Raw genomic sequence first — 26,829 nt, 5'->3', positions numbered from 1 at the left:
TTTTCCATATTGAAAGAGCTCTTTCATATTTATTTAAACATCTCTTGTTACGTGTAGCACTCGACGTATCTAAAAAGGAAAACACAAGTGAAATGAATTGCTTAAGGTGTTCCACAAAACTTCACATTCTCACTCTTCTGAACCACTTTGCAGTCATCAATGCCACACATTTTTTCCAAACCACACAATTAACATCCTCTGGGCTTTCATGTGAACTGGCGATACACTCTCTTATGGTCTCCCGTATTTTTTCAGCCGCTGACATCTGTTTTTACAAGCTTTTTTGCCTAGTGTGTGATAGATGATCCTTTTGTGTATATCGTGGTAACAAACCTAACTCAGCTTTATCTACTTGTGGATATCTTCCCTTCATAAGCCCTATAAAGCTATGCTTCTCAAACTTCCCTGTTCATACAAATCACCTGGGGATCTTGCTAAACAGTAGATATACAACAGGTCTGGGCTAGAGCCTGAGATCCGGCAGTTCTCACAAGCTCCCAGCTGAGGCCAATGCTGCCGGCCCCAGCACTACAGTTTGAGCAGCAAAGCTATAAAGCAATTGATCCTATTGGTTGTTGCTTCTTTGCAAGAAAATATGGAAGTGTGATTATTCCTCCAACAAATGGTTTCACTAATATCAAATTTATGTCTTGCTGCTCTGTTTTCATGCTCTTCTGTATATGCAGTAATTTTTCATTTCAATGCCAAATTGTCACATAATCTTTTTGAAAGCTCTTAAATGGCAGTGAAACTCAACATGTGTAGTGCCAGCACAGCACATAATTCACTGAAGTGTGATGGCGGGGAGTGGAGCTAGGACCAAGCTAGTTGTAGCATACCACCGATTGCAAGCTGTACTCTGATATCAGAGATGCTAAAAAGTGGAGAAGGTGCAGTTTTGGATCAAAGAAATATGGAGAATCTGTTGCAAACCTCTGTACTTTTAGCTTCCACTTTTTTTTTTCCTTTTTAAGAAAATGCTGAAATCAGCATTAGGAATTATGAGAGACAACACTAATAACCCCAGTGTGTTTTGCTGTGTCTGTTTTTAACCTTTTGGCTTCACCTTTGTAACTGGAACACAAGGATGAAAGTTCCTTGGTGTGTGAGTGTTGGTGATATGTGCCTTTACAACTGACTCCACAGCGGTCAGTCACCTAAGAACTGACTTGTTGAAAATGCCCAACTCTGAGCTCCACCCAACCTGCTGAAGCAGCATCTCTGGGGGCTGATCCCAGGAAACCCTTTTACCAAGTCCCCCAGGGAAGTCTTAGGCCACTCAAGCTTGAGAACCACTGGTTTAGTGTCTTCGTGCCTTCTTGCAATATTTAGTCCATCAGTCTTCCAGTAGGGGACAACTATCGGGCATGTCCCAAACACTGTGCAGCTGCCAGAGGGAACACCGAGAGGCCTGGCGCAGCACCTGTCCCCACCTCATGGAGCCTATGCTCCAGATAGGTTGCCACAGAGAATACTGTGCTAGGGGCATTCAGAAGGGGCATGGAAGAGAGGAAGAAGATCCTCATATGGGTGTGATTGGAAAAGGCTTTGTGGAGAAGACTAGAAACGTGCTGGATCTTGAAAGATAGATGAAATTTGGTTGGGACAGGAGAGGAAAGGAGCATTTCAGGCAGGTGGTACAGCATAAGCCCAGGCAAGGAGGCAGGCGAGCACTAGTCACACACCATAGAGAGTCGACCAGGCATCTAAAGAGATGGTTCATGCACACAGGCAGAAAGTATATGCTTGAAAGTTAGATAAGAGTAAGGCAATGCCCCAGGAGGATTTACCCTCTAATAGCCGGTCCCTCCATGTGGAGTTTTTAATTCATTTCTTTTCTTCTCCTTCTCTCTTTCGAGCCTTTGGCTTCTCGTCAGTACCCCAGGCCATCCCTCTCCCTCCTCACCACCTCTGTCCGAACCCCTCTGCTGGCAGCTGGTGCATGAGGAGAAATGCAAGCTCATTGCAATATTAATCTGAGCAAAACACAACTAGAGAGGAAATTTTGCTGCTCTGTTGCAAATAGCATATGGTACCTCCCCAAAAGCCAAAAGAAATGATTTTTTAATCATCTGCTGTTCAGGATTATCCATGCTCCCTTTCCTCAGTGTGGATAATTGAAGGTTGGCTGTATCTGGATTTCAAAGCAGTTTGGACTTCATTGAAATCCAAGGATCCCAGTTTGCTCCCTACCCCCCAGTGGGCATCCGTGCCTGTAATTAAACTGATCTGACAAGGGAGGGCCAAGGCTGTATCTCTGATGTGAGTGGTTACCAGAGAAAGACAACTGGCATTTCTGTGGTGCTCATGTGTTCCACGCGTGGACCGAGAATGATAGCAACTTCTCCCCTTCAAGAGAGAGCCCTTTGTGCTGTGGCTCTGGGGTGCTGTTACCCCTAGACAATGCAGATTTGCTCTCTAAACAAAGCCTTGCAGTGAATTTAATGCCTTTTAAGGTGAGGCCTCACCTGCGGGTCTCACAGTGATGTAAGCAAAGATATTAGAGATGATTTGCTTTTTAGGTGGGCAGAAATTCGTCAACACAAAAACACATACACACACACATTCTGGATGCTGAAATTCTGAGGAGAGAAAACTCTGAGTAGAGCATGGTTAGAAAAATCCATCTGTCGCCCGCAGGTGTGTGCAGGTTGCATGTGAGAAGGAAGGTGGGCAGCCTCTTGGAGGACACGTAGGCCGAGGAGTGGGAGGCATCTTTCTTCAAACAGAGCCCTTGCTCGTTGCGGGGGACAGAGGGAAGGAAAGACAAGATGTGAGCCAGCCTTTCACCTGGACTTGTTTTCCACCTGGCTATAGAGGCTCCACACAGTGCTGGGGTGAGGAGTGAGAGGCCAGGGGGAGGCCCAGGAGCCAGGTTGTCACTGGCTGGGCAGGGGCACTGGGCAGCTGGCTGAGCTTGGAATAGCAGAGGATGGAGGAAACCTCCATGCAGGACTGGCCCCTCCCAGCTGGCCTCCTGAGGAGGACACATTAGCTAAAGCCTCCTGAGCGCTCTCAGCCACTTGCCCACGCATGTTCCTCCTTGTTGGCAAGGGGAATTTCCCCATGGCCAGCGGCCACAGAAAGTGTTCCCTTGAAGTCCACAGCCTACTTGGCCCCCCAGGGGCAACCCCAAACCCCTGTTGAAGGTTAGTAGCAAGAGTGTCAGTAGTGGGCATTCATGTGGGCAGCCCCTTCACGTCTTCGCCAAAGCCAGCACTAGGCAGTCATCAGTCAGGACCCCGGCATCCCTCACTAGCCATCCCCCCACATCAACAGCCAGCAGCTTCTCTCTGGCTCCTCTCCCCGGCTCCTCTCCCCTATGCTCCACGGGCTGCAGGGCCATCACTGCCTCTGTCTGTTTGCTGTCACGCCTCAGCTGGCCCGAGAGAAAGAATGTCTGTTCAGTCCAGAGAGGCACAGCACGTGTGTCCTGCGGTCGGGGCTCCCTCTCTCTACTTCTCTGCCTGATGCCAGACATGCTGCTCTTCTTGCCTTCACCATCTCAGAAGAGCTTCTGTCGAGATCCTCTGCGCTTGCATGGAGCTTATTGGTATTTACACCTCCCTGGCTGTCCCCTCAGCAGTGCACAGATCCTGAGAGATGGCAGCCCTGCACAGCCAGCTGGCCCTCTACTGAAACCAGGATGAGCAAGGAAAGAAAGCCATCCAAGGCGTCATTACGTCTCCTCCTCAGAGAGGACAGCCAGCCATTTTCATGATTAAACCCACTAACCACTCCCATTGGCCTGTGACAGCTTCTTCTGACCACGGTGGTTACTGATTAAAGAGAATCGGGATTACTTTTCTTAGTAGAAAATTAAAACCACATACACACAGATAGAGGGAGAGTGCATTCCACTGTAATGCTCTTAATAAGAACTCCAGATTGCTCAAGCCATGTCCCTCTCATGATACCAGGCGCCCCTGTCACCCAGAAGATGGCCCAGAGGACATGTGCTATGGCCCAGCAAGTGTGCATGTCATGGGGATCCAACCACTCTGGCCCTTTCCTCACCCAGCATATTGATTCCTCCGGAGTGTCAGACACTGTGCTGGGCCCAAGGGCAAAAGCTGTCCCCAGGCCCCTCTACCACAGGAGACCGGCCAGGACACACTGAGCATCTGCAGGAGAGTTTAGGCAGTCCCCTCCCAGGCTGCTCCACGCTGGCCCTTTCTGCTCCTGCAAAGCTGCCCATCCATCTTGCTTTATGGACTGCAGAACTGCCTCAAAGGCAGACACTTGCCCCTGTGGCTGAGGAGCAATGAGCTGTCCACTGGCAGCTCTCCCGGCAGGAATAAAAAGACTGTACTTCAAATAAAGTTTCCTCTAAAAAATAAAAAATAACAAAAATAAGGCACTACCCCGGTGTTTCCCATATGTGAGCCTGCCTTTTACGGCCTGGATGCTTGACTCTCATTAGCATTGCTGAAGAAAGGCTGTTGACTGTACACGGGGGCAGCTCCAGGACTTACGTATTGAGGGATTTGGGGGCAGTGTGGTGGTCAGAGAGGGTGGGGTCTCTGCTTATTGAGCACACTGGCTTTTGGGGAGATGCTGATGGAGAATGCAGAAGGGTAAGACCCTCTCCCATCACCTCCACCAGTTCTTGGCAGCATCCCAAATTAAGCCTTTGTTCCATGAATGGAGCCAGCACTAGGAACCAGGAGTGCCGCATGCCAGTTCCAGCTCTAATTAGCTGGGGGACTTTGTACAATTCCAAAATTTTCCTAAGCTTTAGGATTCTGCTCTGCAAGGAGGTTGGACTTGGACCACATCGTCTCTAAAATCCCTCGAAATGATTCTAGGCCTTGGAGGAAGAAAAAGAAATTGGAGATACAGTTTCCATCCAAGGGAACACTAATGATGGTGAAACGATAGCACCACACGGAAACATTGATGAAACTACAAATGGTGAAAGTCATGGAAAACTCTTGCTTTTTGTCCACCAGCATCTACCCCCATTACTTCTGGCAATAGCTCCCGATTTCCATTTGGGAAGGTCACGAGGTTCTGCTTCCAGGGATGGAACTCATGACCTACAACATGTCCTGAGTCCAGCCACTTCTCGCCAGCTCTGTCACCACCCCCGTTCCAGCCACTACTGTCTGGCCCCTGTGGCCCCCACCCCTCTCCACATAGCAGCAAGGGGGCTTTTCCAAGCATAACTCATGTCATGCCTCTTCCCTTCCGAAAAGCCTGCAGACTCCACCATGGTCAGAATGAAGCTCTGTCTCCTCCCCATGCCGGCAGGGCCCAGCCTCCCATGGCGTCTGCCACTTCCCCACCTCTCCTCCCCTTGTTCTCTGTCAGTCTACTTTCCTCTGTCCATACTGGCCACTTTGGCTCTTCCTTCACCAGCCTGGCTTATTCTGCTTCAGAGCCTCTGCACTGGCCCTCTCTGCCTAGAATATTCTGTGCCCGGATCTTCTCGCAGCTTCTATTCTCATTGCATTCAGGTCTCAAATGTCACCTCCTAAGAGAGCCATCTTATTTAAACAGCACTCTACCCCATACCCCACATCAATCTCTACCCTCTGAATCTGCTGTAGGTGGTTAATTTTTTTAATATCTGTTATTTCCTAATTTTGTATCATTCTGTTTGATGTATTTGTTTGTTTTCTGTCTCCTACTGGTAAGTAAGCCCCAACAGAGCTTACTGCCTTGTCAATATTATGCCCCCAGAATGCACAATAGTAGCTGGTACATAGTAGATGCTCAATAAACACTTGATGAGTGAGTGAATGAGGTCAATCTGAGCATTCAGTGTCCCAGACATATTGGTTGGTTCTGGTTTGGGGGTCACATGACTTAACCTGGTCCAGGCAGAGTGAATCTCAGGACTTTGCCAGAGCACTGGGTGACAGGCACCTACCTGCTTTGGTCTGCTGGGCTAAGTGTTGTTACGGTGTGAGGCTGAGGCTGCCAGAGCTTCCAGATGGAGTCAGGAACAGGGGGCCAACCCAGGGGAAGAAGGACCAAGGGGCAAAACCTGCTGGCATTCTTAGAACCTGAATAAAGCCATACCTCAAGCTAGAACTTTCTATGACTTTTCTAACTAATGTGAGCCAGTTCATTTCATAAGCACTGTCTAGTTAATCTTCATACAACACCAGAAGAGTTCTGCTTACCCACATTTCCCAGATGACAGAATCAGGCTGAGGAAGAAAAGTTGAGTGACTTAGTCAAGGTCACACAGTCAGTAAGGGTCGGGTTAGGGCTTGATTTAAGGTCTTCTCGCCCCAGTGCTGTGTTCAGTATTCTCCTCCCCAAGGCCTCTAATGGCCCTTTTCTGGGGAAGGCAGCAGCCTTGCTGACATGACAGAGCTGGGCCAGGGTGGAGTCAGGTCAGCCTCGCAGCAGAGCAACCTGTTTGTGTTATTTCTGTTTATATAGGGCTTTTCTTCAAAGCACTCCACCTGTTTTTGCAAATAACTATTACAAGCCTTTTCTGCAGCAAGTCAAGAAGAGACAAGGCAAAACAATGGCAACAGATGTTCCCCAGCCTTAGAAACTGGTGAGTGGCCATGCTTGTCAGCTGATGCAGCTGACAGAGCCCAGATTAACAGCACAGGCCTCTGTGATCTGTCTTTGAGAAGTGACGTGGCACCTCACAGATGTTCAGTCCTCATTGTCCGTTGGCCCCACCAGCAGGGTATGAGACGATGAAACTCCTTATGTTTTAAAGAGTGGCCAGTGTCTGGCCTTTGTCCCTTCCAGGCTCCTCTCCCAAGAGCTCCACTGGGGACGGCTTTGTTGGTCTGGACCGTGAAGTTCAGCTGCCTCTGCTGGCCCTGCTCCAAGGATGAGCTTTGTTTCTCTGAGCTGGGTTCACACCATGTGAGTCCTGGGTCCAACTCCTAAGCCTGAGGTTTCCCAGCAGCCACCTTCAGATTGACTGCCCAGGTGACTGTTCTCAGGAACAAGCCTGCAGGGAAACATCTCAGCCACACTTGTGCCTGAGGTGGCCAAACAGCATCTAAAGGACTCAGAGGAAGACCAAGGGGTGGCCTAGGCTCCCCTGCCGAGCCCCCAGGCTCTTAGTGAGGGGTGGGAACCATGGGAGCTACCTCCATTCATCCATAAAGCCTGCTCAACAGCCCTTTCCTTTCCTGGGCCTGGTTAAGAACCTGCAGTGCCTCTCACTTTGCCTCCCAGCCAGGCCACTGGGTTCCTTCCCAGTGCCTGCCTGCTCTGTACTTGGACCAGGGCACAGCTCAACCTGAGTCTCCTACCTGGGTGGTGGCACCTATCTCAGCATATGGCCCTGCAGAATGAGGCTGAGAAGCTACCTAGTGGGCAGTCTGAATTCAACTAGTAAAGATCAGTTGAGTTCTCATGTGGACTCAAGTATTCACTTCTTTGGGCAGTTCTCAGAAAACCAGAGTCTAGACAGAGACTGGCCAGTTTTTGTTTGCCTTTGGCTAGAACCCACTAGGCTTGTACTAAATGACCATCTGGCTGCATACACATAAGGGTCAGGTAATTCCTGTAAATCCACGGTCTTCAAGCACAGAGGTGCATCAGATTCAGGCGGAGAAGACTGGGCTCCGCCTGCAGGGATTTGGGTGCTATGAGTCTGGGATGGGTTCACTGCATGTTTCTGCACCCCCACACCCCAAGGCCTTTAATTTCATAGACATAAAGAAAAGTCCTGCAGATATAAGGAAATGAGAGGTGATCTCAGTTGATGGGGGAGACAGTGGCCCATCAGCTACTAGGTTTCAGCTGAAGATCAGTACAGATCCCATGTTGCAGAGAAGAACAGAGCCAGTGAGCAGAGCTTCTCCCTGGCTTCTCCATTCTCTTCTTCACAGGAGGGGACAGGAATCCCCTCATAATTTGTCCCTATGACAGCCGAGTTGTCACCACTTGGGGAGCAAGGCAACCCCTGATGTCATCAGGTGCAACACATAGCCAAGTGAGCCCAGCGCTGGCCAGGCATTGGTTATGCACTGCACACACCCAGCTCTTTGTCTGGCTCACTCCTAGCCAGACTGCAGAGGCATTTGATAAGTGGCAGCCATTCAAAGCCAGAGGGACTCTACCCTGTTAAAGGGATGCCACTCTCAGTCCTGATGGAGACAGCGAAAGGGTGGATGTCTTTGGGAACAGCCTGCTATAGCAGGAAGCAAGCTGTGCATTTGTTAAAGGATCACATTTCGCCCTTGGGTTAACTGGCTCGGAGCAAGCAGTATCATCTCTGCTCTGGGAGGTTGTTTGCATAGGCTTTCTCCGCAGCTCTACCGGGCCATGGGCGGCCATAATATTACTGTCAGCAGTAACAGCTGGCACTTTCCAGGTACTCAGGAAACTTATTAATCCCCATTATGACTTTATCAGGTGGGCACTAAAATTACCCCCCGCCCTTTAGAGATAACTGAGGCGCAGAGAGGTTAATGACTTGTCTGAGAGCCCGTGCCAAGGGAGTATCAGCTCTGGACAGTGAACCCAGGCAGTCTTGCCTCTGGAGTTCTCCACGGCTTGGACAGGAGAACAGGGCACCAAGTGAGTCTCAAGTCTGCCAGGCCAGTGCTCAGGGACCCATCCATTGGAGGGAGTGGTGAGGTGGGTACCATTTGCCTCGTGGGATGGAGCAGCTGGTGTAGTCTGGGCACTTCAGGTCAAGGGTTTTGTGACTAATGCCACAGATATGTGATTGGGTGACTTTTTTTTTTCCTTTTCATTAAACAAATTGTAAGATTAGTGACTGGGGCATTCCATAAACGCACATCAGAGTGTTCCAGAGAGGTGTGGCTGCTAGGGCAGAGAGAGAAGGCAAACACCAGCCACCTGAAGGGCTGGGGGAACTCCAGCTTCTGCTTTCCAAAGACACAGCTTCCAAGAACAGCAAAGAGAAGCCAAACCAAGCTCCAAGGAGCATGCCCTGACAGCCGGCTGCAGATCCCGTCCAGGGTGGCTGGGCTGTTGCGGTCCTAGAGGATCTGTGGGTCCCTCTCTCCCTCAGCCAGGTGTCTGGACACCTGAGCAGCAGTCCCCCTCCAGGGTCCCTTCCCTGCCAGGCATCAGAGCCACAGGGGAGACCCACATGGAGACTGCCTGGTGCAATTGCAGCTGACAGCATCTCCATAACTCACGAGCATGCTCTCACTGTGAGGAAAGCCACCTGCCCTCTCTTCCTGTGTGTGTCCGTCCAGGAGAGCTCTCCCTTGCAGACACCTTTAGGGGAGGGAATCAATGGAATGGGACTTGTTGTTAGCAGTCACCGCCCCTGCTGGAGCCAGTGGGCATATGGGAGATGTCGGATGGTTCTGTTCAAACAAAAGAGCACAAGCTGTGGGTGGAGGCAGAGGGCAGCTAGCGAGGACAGAGGAGGCTGGCGGGTGAGAGGGTGTTTAGAGTGGCGACTGAGGCTAGCTCCCTCTTGAGGTTGGTGGTGGAGAGTGCAACTGCTCCCTCAGTGGCTGTGGCAAAGTTGGTTAGTTTTCGTAAAAACCAAGGAAGTTTGCCCACTTGTCAGGGATGCCTTTTTGTTTTGTTTTGTTACTGATGTCATAGATAAGCAGGCCCCGTCCACATGGGGCATGTCTCTATGCCTGCAATACTTTTCATTTTAGAAGATGAACATCAAGACTTGTGAAATTTTGATGAAGAGAGGGCATACTGTCGTGAGCCGGATGTGAGCCCTGGGGCCAGCCTGCACTGGCTGTTTACATTTGGGCAAGGCTGTGACAAACAGAAAGGTGCTTGGCTATGAGTCACCAGGGAGCTTCCAGAGCTCCTTGGGGAGCTTGGATCTTGTCACACTGCCTTCTCTGAGGGGCTGGGGAGAGAAGCGGAAGCCAGTGATAGGATTCAGAGCTGGAACCAGAGATAGCAGGTCAGGGCGGTAGGTTTGGTACTGAGGGGAGAAGGTTCATTTGGGACAAATTCACTGAGGCCTTGGGCAGAGTGATAGTGCATTTTTATAGGGCATCAACCCCTCACCTGTGATGGGAGGGCAGAGGTTGGCATGCAATGGCACTTATACAAGGGTAGATTCCCTCCTTTCTGGATGACTGTGAGGTGCACCTAGACTGTGGGTTATGGGAGATCCTGCCAGCCCTGGAGTGCCTGGGGCCACTGGGGCAGGGCCACAATGCTTTCCCTGTGGGCGCCCTGGGCTTGGTGACCTCCAGAGTCAATGTTAGTCAGGCCATTGTTGGGCCAGTTGTGTTTGTTAAAGCTCTTTAAAACAACATGCACAATCACAGGCCTGTCCCACAACTGGATTCATGACTCTGAAAGGGTTTCTTGTCCAGGCAGAACCCCCTAGAAGGCTGGGGGCAGGGACGGGGCCGCCCCTTGCTTTCCCCAGTCTGGCTGCCAGCCCCGCGACTGCAGCTGGCACTGGCTGTGAGGCTGGGCCTGTGAGAGGCTCCGAGCAGCGGAACAACACAGTCCTTGAAGCCCATCGAGACTCAAGTTGGCTGTGGGGGTGGAGGACAAATGGGGAATTATCCTGAGGCTTCCCTGCCCTCTGCTTTGCCAAGGGTTCATAGTGGACTTGCTGGGAGGCACAAGGGCAGGGGCTAGGAGAGTCCAGCTGTTACAAACCCAGGGGCTCCTCTGCCTAGAAACCCCTTTCTAACCAGGCCAGCACAACCAGCTGCAGACAATAGTGGCAAAGCAGCCAGCATCCCTGCTTGGGCACTCCTCACCATGCAAGGGAGGGAGGAGCTGTGCTGGGGCAGGCCCTGCTCTCCACACCTGGGCAGGCAGGGCTGGGGATATTAATATGAGTTATCTGAGTGTTTTCATGCCAAATGCTGTGCTCAGCACTGTGCTTATCTTACAAAAATTAACCCACGAGATAGACGCAGCCAGTATAGCAAGGCGGTGTCCAGGGTCGCATGGCCAGTAAGTGCAGGGCCAGGATGTGATCCCAGCTCTGTCCAACTCGCATGGGAGCTCTTCACCAAGACAGGACTTGCAGGACTCAGAAGATGGACGCACTGTGTAACTGTGAGCCCACTGCTTCACCTCTCTGAGCTGCAGGTACCTTACATGTGAAGAGGGGCTAATATGACCCCCTTCTGGGGCTGGGGTGGGGGTTAGCTAAGATGAAGTATGAAGAGTGCCTGCTCTGCTAGGCACACTGTAGGAGTTAACTTGACTCTTTGTCCTCTTCAGACCTGGAGTGCTCTCATCGAGGCCCAAGCCAGGCATGAGGGGGGTTGGAGTCACTTCCTGCTTCCCTTTCTGCCTCAGAGCATGTGACACTGTGTGTGCTTGGGTACCCATCATGTCTGTGAGGCTGGGCAGTGACCTTGACACAACCACTGCACCCCCAGCTACTCCCTTCCCTGACAGGTGGCTTCATCTTGAGCTGGGCTCCTGCTGGGTTGGGAGAACACCCCCGACACCCAGGACCTACAGAGTGGGGCCTTCCCCTGCCTGGGATGCCTATCCTTCCCCTGGACCTGCTGCCCCTGAGGCCCAAATCCCAGCTCTCTACTGCCTCTTATTCGCCTCTCTCCACTGTGGCCCCCATTTCCTGGCAACTCTGACGGAGAGTATGGTAGGCCGAATAATGATCCCCCAAACATATCCCATCCTAATCCTTGGAACCCATGAATGTTACCTTATATGGCGAAAAAGAACTTGGCAGATGCGATGGACTTGAACACCTAGAGATGGGAAGATTATGCCATCCTAAGTGCCCTTACAGGAAGGAGTCAGAGGGAGATTCCCCAACCAGAGAGAAGAGGAGAAGGTGATGTGAAGATGGAGACAGAAACTGGAGTTTTGTGGCCAGAAGCCAAGGATGCACCAGACGCTGGAAGAGGCAAAGAAAGATTGTCTGCTAGAGCCTCTGGAGAGAGTGTGGGGCTGCCAATGCCTTGACTGCAGCCCAGTGATACTGATTTTCAACTTCCAACCTCCAGAACGATGAGAGAGTACATTTCTGGGGCTGGGACTGTTTATCTTTTAGCTTTAAAAAATTGTGTAAAAATACATATCACATAAAATTTACCATTCTCACCCTCTTAAAATATACAGTTTGGTGGCATTGGTGCATTTACGTTGTTGTGCACCCATCAACACTATCCATCTCCAGACTTTTTTCATTATCCCAAACTTAAACTCTATATTCATGAAAATAAATCATCCATCCTCCCCTCCTCACTGGACCCTGGTAACCACTATTCTACTTTCCATCTCTATGGATTTGACTCCTCTAGGTATCTCATATACATGGAACCGTATAGTATTTGTTCTTCCGTGTCTGGCTTATTTCATGTAGCATCATGTCTTCAAGGGTCATCCATGTCACAGCATGTGTCAGAGTTTTCTTCCTTTTTCAGGCTGAATAATATTTCACTGTGTGTAACATCCATTTTGTTTATACACTTATTTGTGGATGGACATTCGGGTTGCTTCCACTTTTTGGTCATTATGAACAATGCTGCACATTTCTGTTGCTGTAAGCCACTAAGTTTGTGGCAATTTGTTACAGCAGCCCTAGGAAACCTTGAGATGTTGATTGGACCCTCGGCCTTCCTGCATTCCATGCTATAAATCAAGCAGAAGCACAGAATTGCTCCAGGTGTGAGCAGCTGATCCCCTGCATCAGAAGCACTTGGGGGAGGGTGGAGATGAAAGACTTTTAAAAATGCAGATTCCTAGGTTCTACTGTCTGCTGTGTCAGGTTAGGGCCAGGGAAGCTGTATTTTTAACATGTGCACCAGAAGATTGGTATATGCGCTAAAGTTTGAGAACTTGTAGTTTGAGACCTGGTGGGTTACTCTTCCCAAATGAAATGTGTGGTTATGTGCATCTTCTGGATATAATCCCTTAACCTGAAGAGATGACCTTCTTGGCAGGGGTGTCAGGCATGGGGGGTGAGGCAGGTCTCTCTAAGCTTTCAAATCACGTGGTAGACAGTGTGGAAAGATGAGAGAAAACATCTGTTACTTTAAAAGTCGAGTGCGATTTTTTTCATTGGTCTGGGAGGAAGATAATTGTTCCCAGAGGTTGAGTGGCCCTATTGTTTGGGAAAAATGACAGGAGCCCTGCTACTGCTGAGAGATCAGGTTCTGGGCCTGAGCTGGATGAGTAAAGATGAAACAAAGGAAGGCTAAATTGCTCTTGGAAATGAAGAAATGTTGAAGGTTTTTGGTGTCCAGGATGTAGATGAGTTGAGAAGCTAGAAGATCAGACCAGCAGGAGATGACAGAGTCGTCTAGAGGCAGCTCTGAGGGGGTCATGGGGCCCAGTGGCATGGCCTAAGGCTGGAACATATGGAAGACGGGACCAGAGAGGAAGCCTCCCTGGGAAGCAGAGGCAGCCTAAAACTAGAAGTGATGTCTGCCTGATCATGAATTTACCTTGTAGTCTATGCTGTAATGACCCTCTTTTGGCCACCAAACCTTCAGTAAAATCTGTTATGTGTAGCTTGTGTACAAAGACCCTTGCAGAAAAGAGATTTTGTGCCATAGCAGAACATCCCAAGAAAGGGGAGACGGGGGCATTGCAGGAATTGTGGTCCAGCGAGGAAGCAGACTCTAGGCAAGGACCGACCAGAAGAATGTGAGCTCTTACTGCTACAAATGCATGGATACATTCAGGGATGCTAGACCTCCTGCACCAGGAATGGGGACTTTTCTCAATACCAATACCATTTTATTTGGTATTGAAGAAAAGGGGGGTCCAGAAGGATGGAGAACCTTTGGAAAGGATGGTTACACATAGGCAGAAACTGACTAGTCTCTCTAGGGAGCTGGCTCCATGGAAGTCACCTAACTCCATGCCTGTGCCTTTCAGCACCTTTTTAGGTGAGTGGGTCCCTTAGCTCATCACTGAATTGAGTTTTCAGACATCACAGCTGGAGGATCTTTGGTGAGAGTCTCTCTGATAGAAGGTGGGTGGTGTGTGTGTGAAACAGAAGGTTCATCCAATTACTGATGGGCTAATAAAAACTTTCAATGTTCTGAAGGTGGAGATGAATAAAAAACACAAACTTTTCTTTTTGATATTTTTCCTACATTCTCCTAAGCCAAATGCTCAAGCATGTGGAATTTAAATAATTGTTTTTAAGTCAAATCAATTTTGGAACCGAGAGAGTTGGAGGTTTATAGACTCCTCGGTCACTGGCGGATTGCTGATTAATGACGCTGGTGTCTGTAATTATACTGCTGTCAGGAGGCTGAGTGTCCTCGATAAATCCAGGCCCATCTGCCTTCCCAAGACACCAGGAAAGGAGTGTCTTGATTTATGCCCTGATTGGCACATATTCTCTTTACTGTACCTTAGAGAACTCTCAACTACATAATGGTTTGAGAGGTCAATTTTCATCTTGCTTGTATTGAGCAACCTAGAATTTAAGTGTCCTTGCCCATGATTGTGAGGACATAAATTGGGTTTTTCTTCTCATTGCTCTTTTCGTTCATTTTTCTCTAACTTACCTCTTTCATATGAAAAACTGGGTGTGGTAGATCACAAAAATTCAGAAAGGGGTGACAATTCCCACCCCTCTCTGAATCCATGCCCTTTAAACGTGGCTTCACCACTCTTCCCATCAAGAGACAGAGTCTATTTTTCCATCCCTTAAATCTGAGCGGGCCTTGTGACTTGCTTTGGCCAATAGAATGTAGTGAAAGTAACAATGTGCCAGTTTCAAAAAGCCCCGCGGCCTTTTGCTCTTCTCCCTGTAAGAACTCTGCCAGGCCTTGCTGCTGGTTGATGACGGACACGTGGTCCATCTCTCCCCACCACCTCCATAAGTAGAAGCAGTGCCTACATGGCCTGTGGCTGGGCCCAGTGGAGACCAGAAGAACCCCCCAGGCAGAGCTTGGCTTAAACAGCCTGATTGCTGAATCATGGGCTAAATGAATTGTGGTTTTAAGTTTGGTTTGCTGTGCAGCATTATTGTGGCAATAAATAACTGATCCCCTGGGTACCTACTGTATACTACTGCTGTTCTAGAGTTTGGAGCCACAGAGAATCAGAGATACAGAGGTGGATAATGCATAGTTCTGGCCCTTGAGGAGCTCACAGTCTGTGGAGGCAGACAGCCCCAACAAACATGCCATTCTAATGGGAAGTGACAATGGGGACAATTTTTCTTGAACATTATCTATGTGCTGGACATGATGACAGGCATTTTATCTACATTATCATCCCACTTAGTCTTTGCTGTAAGGCTATGAAGCAGACGCTATTATTGGCACATTTTATAGGCAAGAATACTGAGAACCATGGAGGTTAGGGCAGGACCTGATTCCAATCAGCCCCTGGTTTCTGCCAGCCCCTGATGCCCCTCTGTAACAGGCATAAAGCATTAAGGAGTCAGAGGAAGGGGAAGCTGGCACTCAGGGGGTAGGGGCAAAAGCTTCACTGGGACCTGGCCAGTGGGGGAGACTGGAAGCCTGAGGTCATGGGCTCCCAAATCAATCCAGGGGTGAGCTGTTGTGATCTTGAGCTGGAGAAGCTGATAGGATACATTTGGATGGAGACTCTGCTGGGGAACCTGGAAATAGCACCAGCTATTTTTAGGGTGCAGGCTGAAAAAGACAGGACATAATCCTCAGGAACTAGGGTGCATAAGGACAGGAGGAATTTTGTGTTCCCCATGACAAGCAGCATTTCTCTACTGCAGAGTATTCAACACCAGACAATGCCTGATTGGGAATTTCCGCATGGATTGTATTTTTTAAAAAACACATCATAATTAATAGGAAATTCAGTTTTTTTCCTCTATTGTTTTATCTGCAATGCCCTTTTAAGATGTTTGTTTTTAAATGGGTTATCTAGCTTCCTTCTGATGGCTCGTCTGGCTGAAGTGATTCCACATGATGCTGCGACCTGTGTGATGGGTCAGTCCCGGGAGCTACGCTCCACTCTAACCGACATCTCCTTCCCTCCTTCCACATAGAGGGGCATGGAACAGACAAAAAGTGGGTCTTGACATTTGCGGGGGTGACTTTCAACTGTGAGCTCCTTAAAGGTAGCACTCACCTCTGTTATAGTTATCGCTCCCTTACTGTGAGTGAAAGTCAGATGCAATACAAACAGCTAGCATGTAGGGAACATGGTGTCCGGGCATTGTTGTGGTTCTGTGTGTTAATTCACAGAAACACAGCCACTATTATTGTCCTAGTTTTACAGATGAGGAAGCAGGCAGGCAGGGAGAGCTGTGTCTAAGGCCTCACAGTGGGAAGGAGCACAGCATGGGTTTGAACTGGGCCTTTTGCGTCTGGAGCCCGGGATCTTAAACACTCCCCTCCGCTCCAGTTGTCTGGAAATGAAGCCCTGGGGTCAACAACCTGGGTGAGGTGAGGCTGCGGGGCTGGGCGGGTGTTTCACTTTTTACTTCATGCACTTCTGTCATTGATTGAGGTGATCATGTGATAAATATGCAAATCTGGGGTGGTGGAAGGAAGAAAAAAATACCTTAAAATATATATTTTTTAAACATGGCATGTTAGAGCTGAAAGTGGCCTTGGAGCAGATCTAGCCCAAGGAGGAAGTGGTCTTGAAGGTGAAGCGATTGCCCCAGGCTCTATAGCTAGGTGGTAATGACAGAACCTGGCTCTCTGGACTCTCCTTGTTCCTTCCTCTCAGAGCTGCCTAGAGGACAGTGGCGGTGCTAGCGCGCGGTGGGGGTGGAACTATGGTCTGAGGCTGGCGCTCCTTCACCTGCCTTTCACACCCCTCCTTCCCTCTCACTGTGTCTCCTGGGCTTGCCCAAGTGCCCGGGGCTCTCGTGCTGGCCCCAGCCTGATCACAGTAACTTTTGGGGACCCCTCTTGGGCCAGCTGTTTCGGACATGCTCCATGTTCTCCTGACCTCTCTCCCAGTCAAATCAGTCTTATGTCCAGGAATCAGTCTTATGTCGGATTCTTTAAGCCTATCTGGTCAAGCTGGAAAAACTAATCCCAGCTAAAGAGTGAACAATGGATGCTATTTTCCCTCCTGCAGGTTGTAGCTAGATTTTAACAGTGGCCTTCAATGACTTAAAGCAAAAGACTCCTATTGCCATTGCAGCAGCCAGGCTTGGCTAGTGGGGGAAATATTTTAAGAATTTAATGCTTCAGTTAATGTCTTTAGCAGCAAGAAGAATTGTTAAGTGGGAAGGAAGAACTAATTGCAGGGCCAAAATAAATTCCATTTTCTGGCAAGGCCAGTCAGACCAGTGATGTCAACCATAAAATCCCTTGTTCTCTCAGTTCTTCCCTTTCCAAAGAATTGCCCTCCTCTGTGGCCATTTGCGGAGAAAAGGGAGGCTGTGCTATAACCATGGAGGCAGAGAAATGTAATCCTTCAGACAGGAGCTCTTTTCTGGGATGAATGTTTTGTTTTTACAGCATCATCCCTTGGCTCATTTTATTCAATGACCTTGCCCTCATGCTGAACCTTCCTCAAAATAAGAGTGGTCATTTCCTTTTCCCCATTCCCTGAAGGCGACACGGCAGACAAGTCACTATTGTGTAGTTCTGAGGGGGAGGCGGGGGCATGCCGCTTGGAGGTTATGTTTACTGGAATCATTTCTTCCCAGTAAATCCACTTTCTGAAGTCCCAGCCACTTCCTCTCTCAAGTCACACAGTGGGCTGTGATGGCTGCAGAGGAAGTGAGGGCCAGGGAGCAATTCTGAGCCTCATCCTGTATTTAGGATTCTAGCTTCCCCTCACTTCCCTGGAGGCTTTGTTCTGGAAAACAGCACTTGTTTTCCATGGAACAAAGGTTTCTGGAAAGCAAGAAGGCCATCCTGGAAGAGCCCTGTATGGGACAGTGAGCAGGGAGCCATGTTCTGGAAGCCCCTTGGGGTTATTTATTATTATTATTATTTTTTGCTAGGGAGGCCAAGCTAGGATTCAGGGCCCAGGGTCCTGGAGGGCAGGCACAGGAGGTCAGACTGCACCTGCTTCTGGCAGGGTCGGGCTCCAGGCTAGAATCACAGGGGCTCAATAATTATGGAGGGCCCTGTAGCCCAAAGCCTGCAGTTCTAGATCTGGCTCTTCAACAAATATACTTTTATTTCTCTGAGCCTCTGTCACCTGCAACATGGAGATAGTAATACTTTTCCCTCTTACCTGGTAGAGGTTGGTGTAGACTTAAAGAAAACAATAAAGGCACAGAGGTTATTGGAGTTGGAAAATGAAAAGGATTACTATGTTCTCCCCACCACTCTCCTCTGCATGTTTTGTCAAGACAGAATGACCTTTGATCATTTTGTGGACCTGGGGGCACAGCACACCCAGTAAGATGCCAGTCCCCTCCCTTGTGAAGGGTGGGTCCTGAGATAACTCCCCAGATTATATGGCTCAGTGGACACTATTTCCAAAGTGGACAGGAGTATAGTATAGGATATTGTAAGTACGCTGGGAAAGCATGTTTCCTGCTTAGCTGAATTTGGGAAACACTGGATTGAAAAAATTCACTACATTCAGATCTTCTCAGAGTATTTAATATGCTAACTTCATCAAGAATTCCGAAGTGAGGGGGCATAAAATGCAACCTTTCCCAGATGTTTTTGATCACGGAGAAGTATTTTTCTCATGGAACAACTATTCGTGTGTCTCAGAACAGGGTGGTAAGTGCTGATGTTCATTCTTATGCCTTTGGCTATACAAAATATCTATAGTCTTTATTGATTTTGACTAAACAACATCATGCTGTTCTTGAAATGAGCCTCATTAGAAAAAAAAATCCACTGCTAAAAACCATTCTCTTGGACTTGTACTTTTGGGAAGATGGAATAAACATACTTTCCCCTATTCTTCCTACAACTTAAAGCCATTAATATTATATATAAAACAAACACATAAAGACTCTGAAAGGTAGAGGGAAGAAGGCAGGTGGTTAGGACCTTGGGACCCAAGGAATGACACAGTGATGAGTTCTCTGGGTTTTCTTTTTGCCTCATACGTCCCAGACTTGCAATTGAAGAAGCCAGAAACCTGGAAACAGCAACAAGCACAGGCAAAAAAGTGCCCATAAAAGCTAGCTCTCTCTAGCCAAAGTACCAGGAAAGGGGCAGCCTAGCAAGACAGAACCCTTCCAGACAATGACAGCTCTACTGCAGCCAGACACCATGGAAAAACTTTGGCCCACTTCCACCCTCATAAGTGAAAGCCAAGTGGGGAGCCCAGATGTCTGTCCTCATTACGCCATGATGCGGAGCCCTAACGCCCCCAAAGAGTGGGATTAGAGAAGGCCAAGCAGAGAGCCAACTTTTGTCCCTGCTGGCCAGTCATGATGCACACCTCTCCCCACCATGTCTGTGGAAACCACAAAGGGAGCTTGGACTTCCCTCCCCACCTGAGAGTATGACATGCACCTCCATCCTCGGCTGGGGTGGTGTTAGAGGAGACCTAGTGGAGAGTCAGGACTTCTACAATTGCCCAGCAATAATGAGGCCACTTCCACAATGGCGTCAGTGGAGACCACATTGGAAGCCAGAACTCCCACCCACCAGCAACAGCAACGCACACTCCCCTCCCCTATGTCAATGGAGCCTGAGTGGAGAAACTGGTATTCTACCTCCATGTGTCAATAATGAGGCAGCAAGTTCCCTCTTCCCCTGCATTGTCAAAGAAAGCCAGCTAAACCAGAAAATAATATGAAGATGTCCAGGTTTCTCTTCAATTGTCATCATACTTAAAAAGACAATTGATAGATGGCAACACTGAAATGACAGATGATAGAATCATTTGATGAAGGTTTTTAATGCAGCTGTGGTAAAAAAGCTTCAACAAGCAATTATGAACACGATAGAAACAAATAGAAAAATAGAAAGCGTCAGTGAAAAAAAACTCTCAACAATGAAATTGATAATATAAAGCAGAACCAAATAAAATGTGAGAAATAAAAAACACAATCAGCAAAATTTTAAAACCTAATTGATGGACTCAACAAGAGAATGGAGGGGACAGAGGAAAGGATTGGAGAACTGGAAGATAGAAAAATAGAAATTATCCATTCTGAGCAACAGAGAGAAAACAAACTGGAAAGAAAAACCCCAAACAAACAAATAGAGCTTTAGATGCTGTTGGGACCATAGCAAAAGATCTAACATTTGCATCATTGGAGTCTCAGAAGAAGAGAAAGAGGAAAGGAATTTTAAAATATTTGAAGAAACAATCACTGGCAAGTTTCCAAGCTAAGCAAGAGATATACAATTACAGACTTCTGAAGCTGAGCAAATACCAAAGAGAATAGACTCAAAGAAATCCACACCAAGACATGATAATTTAGTTTCTGAAAGCTAAAGACAAACAAAAAATCTTGAAAGTGGCCAGACAAAAATGAAACCTTATGTACAAGAAAAAAATTTAAATGAAGGTGGATTTTTTCATCAGAAACCATGGAAAACAGAAGGAAGCAGCATAATAATTTTTAAGTACTGAAAGGAAAGAATGGTTAGAATTCTATAGCTAGCTAAAATATCCTTCAGGAATAAAGAGAAAATCAAGACATTTTGAGATGAAGGAAGATGAACAGAATTTGTTGCAAGTAGACCAACCCTAAAGGAAGTTCTCCACACATAAGGAAAAGAAAAAAAGAAGAAGGAACTTTGGAATATTAGGAAGGAAGAAAGAAAGTGTTAAGCAAAAATATGAGCTATTACAATAGGCTTTACGAGAGTTTTCTAAATTATGATTGATGGTTGAAGCAAACATTAAAACACTTTCTAATGTGGTTCTGAATATATCTAGAGGAAATATTTAAGGCAGTAATAAAAACAGGAGTGTAATGTAATATAAAGGAAGGTGAGGTTTTTATATTTATTCAAACTGGTAAAATGTCAACACCAGTAGACTGTGATAAATTATGTACATATAAAGCAATACCTAGAGCAACCACTAAAAAGCTATGCAAAGATGGCTGGGCGCAGTGGCTCACGCCTGTAATCCCAGCACTTTGGAAGGCGGAGGTGGGCAGATCACTTGAGACCAGGAGTTTGAGACCAGCCTGGCCAACATGGCAAAACTCTGTCTCTACTGGGAAAAAAAAAAATAGCCGGGCATGGTGGCACATGCTTGTAATCCCAGCTATTCAGGAGGCTGAGGCATGAGAATAGTTTGAACCTGGGAGCTGGAGGTTGCAGTGAGCTGAGATCATGTCACTGCACTCCAGCCTGGGCAACAGAGCAAGACTCTGTAAAAAAACAAAACAAAAACAAAAAAAAAAAACTCTGCAAAGAGATAAACCAAAAAATTATAGAAAAATCCTAATGGAATTCTACAAAATATTTAAGCAACCCACTAGAAAGTGAGAAAAGGAAAAAAGTAACTGAAAACAAAAGAAATAAAATGGCAGAGATAAGCCCTAATATATTAATAATCACTTAAACTGTAAATGGTCTAAAAACACCAACTAAAAGGCAGACATTGTCTAAGTGGATCAAAACACATAACTCTACTGTATGCTGTATATGAGAAACTTGCAGCAAATATAATGATAAAGGCAGGTTAACAGCAAAAGATGGAAGCACTCCAGACCCATTAGGATGGTTATTATTAAAGATACACATAAATACACACAAACACAACAGAAAATAACAAGTGTTGGCAAGAATGTGGGGAATTTGGAACATTTGTGTGCTGCTGGTAGTAATGCAAAATGCTGAAGTCACTATAGAAAACAACATGGTGACTCCTCAAAAAATCAAACATAAAATTATTATATGGTCCAGCAATTTTACTTTTGGGTATGTATCCGAAAGAAATGAAAGTGATGACTTGAAAAGATATCTGTATACCAATGTTTATATCAGATTTATTAACAATAGCCAAAACGTGGAAGAAACTTATGTGTCTCCTAATGGATGAATGGATTACAAAAATGTGATATATACATACAATGGAATACTATTCAGCTTTAAAAATGAAGAAACTTGACATATGCTACAACATAGATGAATCTTGAATACACTCTGTACTAAGTGAAATAAGCCAGTCACAAAAGGACAAATACTGTATAATTTCACTTCTATGAGGTACCTACAATAGTCAAATTCATAGAACTAGAAAGTAGCATGTTGATTTCCAGGGGCTGAGGAGAGGGGGAAATGGGGAATTATTGTTTAATGAGTATAGAGTTTTAGTTTGGGAACATTAAAAAAGTTCTAGAGCTGTATGATGGTGATGGTTGTTCAACAATGTGAATGTAGTTAACACCACTGAACTGTACACTACAAATGGCTAAAGTGGTTAAAAAAGTAAAAGGCTAGAAAATGATATATTACGCAAACATTAATAAAAGGAAAGCAAGATTGGTTATATTAATATTAAAGTAAATATCAAAGGAAAGAAAATTACCAGAGACAGAGGAGGATGTTATGTCATGATAAAGGGTCAATTGCCAAGAAAAAAGTGGCAACTCTAACTGCATAGGCACCAAACAACAGAGCTCCAAATATGGATAGCAAAAACTCACAGAATAGACAGGAGAAATAGGAAAATCCACAACTGTATTTAGAAAGCACAACACGCCTCTCTCAAAAATTGATGTAGACCAGGCACGGTGGCTCATGCCTGTAATCCCAGCAGTTTGTGAGGCCAAGGCATGCAGATTGCTTGATCCCAGAACTTTGAGACCAACCTGCACAACATGCCAAAACCCCATCTCTACCAAAAAAAAAGAAACAACAACAACAAAAAACACAAATTAGCCAGGTGTGGTGGCGCACGCCTATAGTCTTAGCTACTCAAGAGGCTGAGCTGGGAGATTACTTGAACCTGGGAGGAAGAGGCTGCAGTAAGCTGAGATCGTGCCACTGCACTCCAGCCTGTGCGACAGAGCAAATCCCTGTCTCGAATAAATAAATAAATAATTGATGAAAAGCTAAACAGAAAATCAGCAAGGATAGAAGAACTCAGCAAATATTAATCAACAGAATCTTATCAACATTTATAGAAAACTCCATTCAAGGCCAGGCGCAGTGGCTCATACCTGTAATACCAGCACTTTGGGATGCCAAGGCAGATCACTTGAGGTCAGGGGTTTGAGATCAGCCTGACCAACATGGTGAAGCCCTGTATCTACTAAAAAAAAAAAAAAAAATTAGTCAGGTATAGTGGCGGGCGTCTGTAATCCCAGCTACTTGTGAGGCTGAGGCAGGAGAATCGCTTGAACCCAGGAGGTGGAGGTTACAGTGAGCTGAGATTGTGCCACTGCATTCCAGCCTGGGCAACAGAGCAAGACTCTATCTCAAAAAAAAAAAAAAAAAAAAAAAAAAAAGAAAAGAAAAGAAAACTCCATTCAGTAACAATAGAATACATGTTGTTTTCAAGGGCCCACAGAACGTTATACCAAGATAGACCATATCCTGTACCATAAAACAGACCTTAAGAAATTTAAAAGAATTGAAAACATACAGAGTATGTTCTCTGACCCAGTGAAATCAAACTAGAAATCAATAACAGAAAGATAAATGGAAAATCTCCAAGCACTTGGAAACTAAACAGCACACTTCAAAATAATCCATGGGTCAAAGAGGAGGGCTCAAGGAAAATAAAAACTACCCTGAAGTAAATAAAATGAAAATACAACATCTTGGCATTTGTGGGGCACTGCTAAAACAGTGCCAAGAAGGGAATGTATAGAACAAAATGCTTACATTAGAAAAGAAGGAAAGTCTGAAATCAATAACAGAAGCTTCCAACTCAAGAACTTAGAAGAGCTCAAAATAAACCCAAAGCAAACAGAATGAAGGAAATAATAAAGGTAATATCTGAAATCTATGAAATTGAAAATAGAAACACAATAGAGAAAATTGATGAAACAGAGGTTTTATTTTTTTTGAAAAGGTCAATAAAATAGTCAATTTTAAGAGTAAAACTGACAAAAACAGAGAGAAAACACAAACTGTCAATATCAGCAATGAAAGAGGGGCTATCACTACAGACCCTGCAGTTATCAAAAGGATAATAATAGACTGTTATGAACAAGTCTATATACATAGTTTGACACCTTAGGCTGAATGAACCACTCCCTCAGAAAAACACAAATTACCGCAACTCACCCAACATGAAATATATAATTTGAGTAGACCCTATAATAATTAGGAAATTTAGGCCAGGCACAGTGGCTCATGCTTGTAATTCTGGCACTTTGGGAGGCCGAGGCGGATCACCTGGGGTCAAGGGTTCGAGACCAGCCAGGCCAACATGGCAAAACCCCATCTCTACTAAAAATACAAAATTAGTGGGGTGTGGTAGCACGTGCCTGTAATCCCAGCTACTTGGGAGGCTGAGGCATGAGAATCGCTTGAACCAGGGAGGCAGAGGTTGCAATGAGCTGAGATCCTGCCGCTGCACTCCAGCTTGGGGGATAGAGTGAGACTCTGTTTCCAAAAGAAAAGAAAAGAAAAGAAAATTAGGAAATTTAATTTCTAATTTAAAAACTCTCAGAAAAAAAATCTCCAGGCCAGATGGTTTCAATGGAGAATTCTACCAAATGTTTAAAGAATAATTAACACCAGTTCTACACTATCTCTTCCAGAAAGTAGAAGAAAAGGAAATATTTACTAATTCATTATATGAAGCTAGTATTACCCTGATATCAAAGCACAGTGAGATACACCCTTATAAGAATGGCTAACATAAAAAATAGTGACAACATTACAGGTTAGAGAGGATGTGGAGGAACTGATCACTTCTAGATTGCTGGTGGGAATGTAAAATGGCATAATCATTGTGGAAAGCAGTTTGAAAGTTTCTTTAGAAAAAAAAAGAAACATGCAATTACCATATAACCTAGCAATTGCACCCTTGGTCATTTATCACAGAGGAATGAAGACCTATGTTCACACAAAAACCTATATGTGGGCTGGGTGTGGTGGCGCATGCCTGTAATCCCAGCACTTTGGGAGGCCGAGGAAGGAAGATCCCTTGAGCTTAAGAGTTTGAGACCAGCCTGGTGAAACCCCATCTCTACAAAAAAAAAAAAAAAAAAAAAATTAGCCGGAAATGGTAGCATGTCACTGTAGCCCCAGCTACTTGGGAGGCTGAGGGGGGCGGATAACCTGAGCCCGGGAGGTCAAGGCTGCAGTGGGCTGAAATTGCACCACTGCATTCTAGCCTGGGTGACAGAGACCATGTCTGAAACAAAACAAAACAAAACAACAACAACAACAACAAAACCCTATACATGAATGTTTATAGCAGTTTTTGTAATAGTCCCAATCTGGAAACAACCTAGATGTCCTTCAATAGGTGAATAGCTAAGCACGCTGGTACATCTATACCACAGGATACTACTCAGCAGTCAAAAGGAATGGACTATTAGTACAGTAACAACCTGGAGGAGTCCCCAGAGATGAACATAAAAAGACAATCCCAAAAGGCTACGGACTCTATGATCCCATTTATATAATGTTCTTGAAGTAATAAAATTATAGAAATGGAGAACAGGTTAGTGAATGTCAGGAGTTTTGAGGGAATCTAGTGATGATAAAAATGTTCTGTACCTTGACTATCAATGTCAATATCCTGGTTGTGATACTGTATTATAGTTTTATAAGTTTTACCTTTGGAAGAACTAGGTAAAGGATACCTGAGATGTATTATTTCTTACAACTACATGTTACGGAATTGTAGTTGTTTCTTACAACTATGATTATTGCAAAATTAAAAGTTTAATTTTAAAAATTCTACATGGGTAGAGGAGCAGATGAAATTAAAATTCCCTTTCACATGCTTGGCAGGATTGGCATTCACCCAGCACAGGTGCTTGTCTGAAAGGCAACTTGCAGAGTGAACTAAGGTGTTGCAGATGTCTCAGGAGAAGGGGCACAGTGTAGTAGAAGAGTGCTGTATTTACAGCTGAAGACCTGGGTGTGAGCCTCAGTTTCCTAACTTACTAGCATGTGACCATTGGTACGTTATGAGTCCCAGTGCTAAAATTGGCCAAATGGAGATAACCGTACCATAAAGGGATGCTGTGAGAAGCAGACAGCACCTTGTGAGTGAAAGCCTCCCACACAGATATCCTCCAGCAGTTGGTCTAGAAGTCACAGATTCAGGATGGGACTCCAAACGCTGGCATCAGTTGAGATTTATCTAGAAACCCCTGCTGCATGTATGCAGCGTACTGTACTATGCCTCCTGCGGTGTGAAGTTAAGTCATTTAGTATAATTCAGCGCTGAAAGTTTAGTTTGTAATGGAGAAGGAATATATCCCTCTAAATCAGGGGTCCCCAAGCCTTGGGCTGAGGCCTGTTAGGAACCGGGCCACACAGCAGCTGAGCAGTGGGCTAGGGAGCATTAAGGCCTGAGCTCGCTGTGATTTTTTTGTTAAGCCAGACATGATGCATTGGGTAAAAGAACATGAAGAAAACAGGTATTTAGTAATGTAGTGGCAGGATATTGGGGAGAGGAATGTTCTATAGTCCTATGATTAGCCTCAGTGTTCTAGTGAGTCTGTACCCCTGGTCTATGACCTCCACAAGTGTGTCTCTGCCAGGGGCAGAGCCTTAGGTGGGACAGTAAGTCTAGAGGGGCCTGGACTTGGGTATTTCCCTTTCCCCAGGAAGGTTTGGCTCTGATAAAACTCCCGCAGGTTAGGGTCTAGTAAAATAGTTTCTCCTGAGGTCAGGCCCTGTTTAGAATACTTTGATATATTTCAAAATAGTTCTTGTGTGTGTGTGTGTGTGTGTGTGTAAAAGCTACAAGGGGATATTTCTCTTATCTGCTGTCAGAACCTGTTTGGGCTCCTAGAGGTAGAACCCACAAAAGTGTTGAGGTCCCCTAGGGTTTTTAATCCTCAGACTTATCCACATTGAGGTTCCAGAAATTGAGCAATTACAGTTTAGGGTCTCCTAGCCCAGCTCTGGTTCCCATGGGGGTCTCTGCTCATAGGTTTCTGCTCCAGTAAGTTGT

General features: G+C 46.1%; 1 long non-coding RNA gene across 1 annotated transcript in view, besides 2 other annotated features; it reads left to right on the top strand.

The window, feature by feature from the left end:
- PKP4-AS1 (PKP4 antisense RNA 1) overlaps positions 1 to 26,829 on the top strand; it is a 76,666-nt gene that overhangs the window by 1,241 nt on the left and 48,596 nt on the right. The window lies entirely within an intron of this gene.
- Positions 8,512 to 9,011: an enhancer, noted in NCBI's record as "H3K4me1 hESC enhancer chr2:159581263-159581762 (GRCh37/hg19 assembly coordinates)". NCBI's record gives its function as "activates a minimal SCP1, AML or CMV promoter by ChIP-STARR-seq in primed H9 embryonic stem cells {active_cell/tissue: H9 hESC(primed)}" and the evidence as "EXISTENCE:reporter gene assay evidence [ECO:0000049][PMID:30033119]".
- Positions 9,848 to 10,353: an enhancer, noted in NCBI's record as "H3K4me1 hESC enhancer chr2:159579921-159580426 (GRCh37/hg19 assembly coordinates)". NCBI's record gives its function as "activates a minimal SCP1, AML or CMV promoter by ChIP-STARR-seq in naive H9 embryonic stem cells {active_cell/tissue: H9 hESC(naive)}" and the evidence as "EXISTENCE:reporter gene assay evidence [ECO:0000049][PMID:30033119]".

Source organism: Homo sapiens, chromosome 2 (assembly GCF_000001405.40).
Source record: "Homo sapiens chromosome 2, GRCh38.p14 Primary Assembly".
NCBI classification, from domain to species: Eukaryota; Metazoa; Chordata; class Mammalia; order Primates; family Hominidae; genus Homo; species Homo sapiens.
This window is presented reverse-complemented; position numbering and strand designations above follow the sequence as displayed.